Below are 6401 nucleotides of genomic sequence, written 5' to 3'. Positions count from 1 at the left end.
TTGTCAGTCTCCATCTGCCTAGATGCTTTGCATCTTTCAATAAGTCAGAACGCAGATACTGAGGAGATGGCTCTAATGAATTAGACTTCTAAACCCCAAAAATTCCTATCAATTCCTGTAGTTTTAATTTTGACTTGTTTGTATAGGGTTTGTATATGATTAATGTCTGTCTTCTTGATTAGCGAGTCCAGGGGTGGGAAGGGTGATTGCATTGTATTTCTGGTGCCTGGCCCAATGTGTCAAAGTCACACATAAAACTCATGGAAGGAAATGAATCAATACGTCTCCTAAGCCCTTACATTCTCTCTGGGCCTCACTGTCTTCCCCTCTTACAGGGCCCTCTTGCTGAAGTATGTAAAGCTCACTTGGACCACCCTGCCACAGTAGTCAACACAGAATCTGTCCTTGGAACTAGTTTTAACTCCAGCGAAGCTACCCACGTGTCACAGCGCCAGCACTCAAGGAGAGGCAGCTCTGTGCAATTGCGTCCAGGGAAAACCCCTGTTCCAAAGAAAAAGCCTGCATTTTCCCCTTTGCCTTTTCCTGACTCCTTACTTCTAGCTTTGGGATTGCAAATTCTGGCTTGGACTTGCTTCTCCAGCAAACCCCTTAGTGTGCCTTCTTGAACACACCTACATGCTTTCTTTGTTGCTAGATGCCCCAGGAAGGTACTGGAGTCTCAGACTTGATTTCAGGAGACAATGAAATCCAAGCTGACTGACATCCTCTTTTCCCCACCTGGGCCACCTTGGGTGCTCTGGAAAAGTTGAAGCCAGCCCTGGGCACAGCTCAGTGAGAGGAATTTTGCTTTCAGTCTTTTCTTTAGAGGGTGGGGGCAGTAAGGAGGAAGGAGAGAAAAAATTTACAAATACAAAAGCAAAAGAGTCACTTTTCCCATTTCTTTAAAAGTTCAAGCACGCATTTTCTTTCCTTCCTTCCCTGGGTCTTTCTAGGCTTTATTATTTCCTTTTGATACACGATTTTCTCTGGGGTTTATCTCTGAACGCTTCCCGGACTCCTTCCCCTGCTATTTGATAGGAGACAGGCAAAGTCCAGCACAAAGAAAACAAACAGAGCCTAGTGACGAGCAAGTGGTCTGCTGGTCCTGGCCACCTGCCGGAAGGCATTGAGGCAGAGCCCAGCGACACTTCTTTTGAAACAGAATGATGTGCCTGCCATCCAAATCAAAGGTGCTTATAAAAAGAATTCCCTCTTTTGGGTCTGGGTTTTTTTTCCTCCCAGCTCCGGGTCCTGCTGTCCTCCTGCTGTCACACAGGAAGGACCCACAGTCTTATTCCTGCTTTGAATGGCAAAAACTTTAACTTGTAGTACTTTTTCCTGTTCAGCTTGCTGCAGCCAACTCTGTTTGTGGTTCCAGAACCTGGCCAGTAGCTGTTACCTACAGTTTTACCTTCCTGTTTCACTTTCTTTTCTAAAATACGGGCTTTTTCCTCCTCTACCATAAAAGTAATACATGCTTCCTATAGGAAATCACTACAGAAAGAGGCAGGAAAAAAAAAATCATCTCCTGTCCCCCACGACCAAAAGATAAATTTGAAACATTTTATTCTAGACTTTTTTCTAGCATCCTTAAAGTTGGAACATTCTCGGCATATTCTAATTATTTTCTTATTCATCAGATATTGAGGATTCACAAGTGGGATTTTGTTTTTGGGTAGGAGTGTTTTAAGGAAGAGAGAGAAAGAGAGAAAAATGCTGGACACAGAAGGGGCATAAATTCAAGCACCCTCAGAATAATAATATTTCATCTTTTTGAACTCTCAGATTGGTGCTTGCTTACAATATTTTATATTTAGATTCATACATTAATAAAAGAGAGAAATGATGAGTCAGCAACTACCTGGGTCAGCATCCCTCTGAGATGAATAACTTTGCAGCACCTTCAGCTACTCTTCTGAATACTGCGGGTGTCCAGGGGACTGGAAACAGTTTATTTCTACATTATCAGTGTTCTTCAAGGAAGCAAGTAAACGAAGAGATGGCAGGCAGCTTCATTAGGTGCAAAGCAGAGAATGGCGCCCCCTGTGGGCATGCATGTGGAGGGCAGGGCTTGCACAGCTGCTTGTTTCCAGCCCCAGCCACCTCCCCTCCCAGCACCTCTGGGCAGGGCACGACAGGTGTAGCTATACATGGTGGCTTGTGACATGGACAGGAATCAGCAGAGCTCAGCTTGAGGTCTGCCTTGACCACATGTTTGCCTTTGGCCATTCTCCCTTTGTGGATTGGCTTGTTTCTTAGTGCAAGTGACAAAAAATTAAATGGTTTTTAAGGCGCCTTGTAGGTCATACAATCCAGGTACAAAGTAAAACTGCATTTATAGAATTTGGAGACAAATCTCGACACATCCTTATATCTCACCCAAGGTCTCATAGACCTGGCTGACTGTCAGAGAGGGTAGGGTTAGCCATCAGCCGGGATCCTGCACCTGTTCCTTACTAGACATGGGTGACCTGGGCATGATGTTTAACTTCTGAACCTCCCTTTACTCTTTGTCGAAAGGGAGTAGTAATGTGCACCTTTAGGGCTATTATAAGGATGCAATAAAAAATTAATTCCACAAATACTTATTAAGCACCCACCAAATGCCCGACATAGTTTCAGGAAGAGTTGGAAAGCAGTGAGCAAGAAGGGGAAGAGGTCTCTTGTCTTGTGGAGCTGCCATACTTGTTGGAAGTGACGAAAACAGGAAATAAATAAAAAATCAGTGTTGTATAGACCATTAAAACCAGGTGAAGCCAGGTACAGTGGCCCACACCTGTAGTCTCCACTTAGCAGACTGAAGTAGGAGGATCACTTGAGCCCAGGAGTTCAAGTCCAGCATAGGCAACATAGCAACCTTGTCTCTAAAAATGTTTTTACCAAAAGAAAGAAAATGAGTGGTCAGGGAAGCTCTCTCTGAGGAGGTGGCATTCAGGCTGAAATGTGAATGGCAAGAAGGAACCAACCATGCAACAGTGGCTGGGAAGATATTTTAAGGGAAAGGGAACACAGTGTGAAGTCTCTAGGAAGGAACGGGATGAGCTTCGTGTGTTGTGGCCTGAAGTGAAACCTAGCTGGCTGGAGTGTGGAGGGTGAGGAGAGTGAGGCATCCAGAAGGAAGGGAGGTAGGGAGCAGGGTCACAGAGGGTTACATAAGTCAGGAAAGCAATTGAGACAAGGGAGAGCCTTCCCAGTTCCCGGCCCAAAGGTGCTCTTGAGTGAGCGGCGTATCTGTGACAATGAGGAGAAAGAAAATGAGAAGGTTCTGAACGAACCAGTTTCTTCTGAGTCCTAAAGGATAAAGGTAAAAACTTCTACCAGATGCTGCTTTGCCAGATGGTTTCCGTAGTGGAGAGTGTCTGCCTGCGTCAGACAGAAGCCCTGGGGGAGAACTGGGCCCTCTGGGGAGTCTTCGGAGGAGACGCCATCAGTCCCTGAAAGTGGAAAAGTGACTAGAGATAGCCATTAGGTTCACAAAAGAAACCTTAAAATAGATTCAGTTGGAGATGCAAATTCAGTTCAGAGCAGGACTGCCGATGTGTTGAAGCTTAAAAAATTCCTCTGGGAGAATTGGGAGGGGGAGAAAAACGAAGGCAGAGCAGATGGCTTGGTGAATAGGAGGCCAACACTCCGGGCTACTCAAAGAAGGGAATCTTAATTAAGGGAAGAAGCCCCAAATAACAAAACTGGTTGCTCTCCATTATTAATAGTAGTTTTCGTCCATTTGTGAGTTGGTGACAGATTCATCCTGGGCTATTTGGGTCTGAGAGGAAAGGAGCTGTGTTCCTCTTCTGATTTACGAAGTCTGATAGAGCAGCCCAGAGGCCACTCCTTAGGATTTCAAGGAAGGCTAATGTTGCAAATGAGAAGTAATTACAGCTCTCGGTTTCCAACTGTCCGAGTGGTAGCTCCGATGGTTAATTGGCTCTGCTTCCTTGGTCTACTTTCCCGAGGCTTTTGACCTCATTCTACTTCCTCTCCTATATCTTGGGGGAATTTTCCCAGTCCAACAAGCTCTGCACATTTAGGTTACCTCTAAGGGTTGGGTGTACCATCTGACAACAATTGATTTCCAAGCTTCTGCAGCTACCTTGGCTAGTTGTCTATGGAGTTAAAGAGTGCTAGCGGTTCATTAGCACCTGTGACATTTTCATTAGCATTAATGAGGCTCATCTGCAAAACTCAGACCCAGAGAGATTAGAATTATTCTGTGCCATAGGAAGTAATTGGCGAAACTTTCCCTGGCTCATTTAGGCCCTAGTTAGGAACAAAGGAGCATCGAATTTGTCCCAAGATGATAATAGTGTTACTTGTAAAGATGATTTTCTGGCAAGTTTGAGAAACAATATTTTCAAAATATTTTATAATGGAGACTTTCAAGCACACATAAAAGAATAATGTTACAATGAACTTTTATGTGCTCATCACTCAGTCTCAACAATTATTCACATTTCGCCAATCGTTTTTCATCTATTTCTCCCCTTTTATTTCTTTGCTATTTTCAGACCTCATAGTGTCTCATCCTTACTTTTTTCAGGGAATATCTCTAATATGTCCCCCCCATGCCATTGTTGTGAGTTGCGTTCTCTGGGAAGCAAATTCTGAGATGCAGAGTAGTGGACAGAAAATTTATTAGGAGTGGTTTTCAGGATTTGCATCTGCAAGAGGGAATGACAGGAAACAAGGCCAGGACGAGGGAGAAGTTGGACCACTAGGTAATACCTATAAAAGACTCGGCTTGGACCAGGCGGTGGCTCACGCCTGTAATCCCAGCACTTTGGGAGGCCAAGGCAGGCAGATTGCCTGAGCTCAGGAGTTCGATATCAGCCTGGCCAACATGGAGAAACCCCATCTCTACTAAAAATATAAAAATTAATGGGGCATGATGGCATGCACCTGTGATCCCAGCTACTCTGGAGGCTGAGGCAGGAGAATCACTTGAATCCGGGAAGTGGAGGTTGCAGTGACCTGAGATCGCGCCACTGCACTCCAGACTGGCGATACAGCAAGACTCCTGATTAAAAAAAAAAACAAAACAAAACTCAGCTGATCCCTGTGGAAAGCTGCAATGCTGAATGCTTATTACTTGTCCAGGGTCTGGAAGAGAAAGCTGGGCTTTAATATTCCCATAATACTCCCCTATGGACCATCCTGTCACTAGGAAGTGAGCATAATCTTGAGGAAGGTGTCCTTCGGCCTAGGGCAGTTTGAGGGCAATTTCTGGAGAGGCGAATAGCAGGTGGCTGTCAGCTGGCAGTATCCTGAGCTGCGAAGGGAATCATCTTATTTCTGAAGGAGGATCAGGGTGGCTCATCATAGCATCCATCACAGACATTCTTGCATCTAACAACATTAACAAGAATTCTTTAATATTACCTAGTAATTAAACAATGTCCACAAATCGTTATGTTAAATGAAGTTAAAAAATTTCTTTAATGCGGGTCTATTCTGAGGTTTAAATATACAAATGAACGTGTGACTTTTCAGGAAGATTTTTAAACGTGAAACATTTAAAAAAATTATTTGACTGTCTCATGTGTTTTTGGTTTTGTTTTTATTTTTATTTTTTTGGGACGTATACCAAAAAACAATGCTCTGAACTCAGTAAACATGGGGACGTGGCAGTTTTAATTTCACAGTGTTAATAGCTAAGGCCAAGACTCTCTCACGTGGCAAAGAGGTGAGTGTTTGGCATAGAACTGTAAGAGTAAATGCTACTTGGATGCTACTTCATTCTAAGACAGCTATGAATTACGTGAGCATCTGAAGATATTTTGCAGTTCGAACAAGATATATACTAAAAACGCTGTGTACTTTGTCACATCGACAGTCACTCACTAACAGAGCTTTTTGACGCGGTCATTTCTGCAGTGGAAGGAGAAACTGATGAAGAGTCTCTTTGTGGGTGCTGTGAGGTTATTTTTAGGTTGCTACAAAGCCTCATTTATAACTGCGACTCTAATCTTAAGAGGCTGGTGTTGGAGACCAAAGAACTGGAAAGAAGTGGTATTCTAAGGTTTAGTGAAAGGTCCATAAATCAGTAGATTGCAGATGTGCATACAGCACGGACCAGGCATTGGAAATGATAAAAGGGAGATACAGTTTGCTTTCATAGGCATTTCTATTGGAGTGATGAAAAGAAACATGGTAATTAACAGAATGGAGTGAAACAAGTAAACGTGTGCAGTTTTGTTTTGTTGTTGTTGTTGTATAGTTGGTTCTCTCTTGAACTCTTTTAGAAACATCACCTCAATTAAAGTAAGTATGCAAATGTCATTTCTTTTTCATAAAAGTAGAGAGCATTCTTAATCACACAGGTAATAAGTGAACAGATTGATTGGGAATACAATCTAGACATTTTAACAGTAACTCTATTCTAGTTCTGGCAGGCAATGGTGCAG

General features: G+C 43.3%; 2 annotated features.

Moving 5' to 3' along the window:
• Positions 943 to 1237: an enhancer, noted in NCBI's record as "tiled region #2159; HepG2 Activating DNase matched - State 4:PromP". NCBI's record gives its function as "weakly activates a minimal TATA promoter and a strong SV40 promoter by Sharpr-MPRA in HepG2 cells {active_cell/tissue: HepG2}" and the evidence as "EXISTENCE:reporter gene assay evidence [ECO:0000049][PMID:27701403]".
• Positions 943 to 1237: a silencer, noted in NCBI's record as "tiled region #2159; K562 Repressive non-DNase unmatched - State 23:Low". NCBI's record gives its function as "represses a minimal TATA promoter and a strong SV40 promoter by Sharpr-MPRA in K562 cells {active_cell/tissue: K562}" and the evidence as "EXISTENCE:reporter gene assay evidence [ECO:0000049][PMID:27701403]".

Source organism: Homo sapiens, chromosome 4, assembly GCF_000001405.40.
Source record: "Homo sapiens chromosome 4, GRCh38.p14 Primary Assembly".
NCBI classification, from domain to species: Eukaryota; Metazoa; Chordata; class Mammalia; order Primates; family Hominidae; genus Homo; species Homo sapiens.
This window is presented reverse-complemented; position numbering and strand designations above follow the sequence as displayed.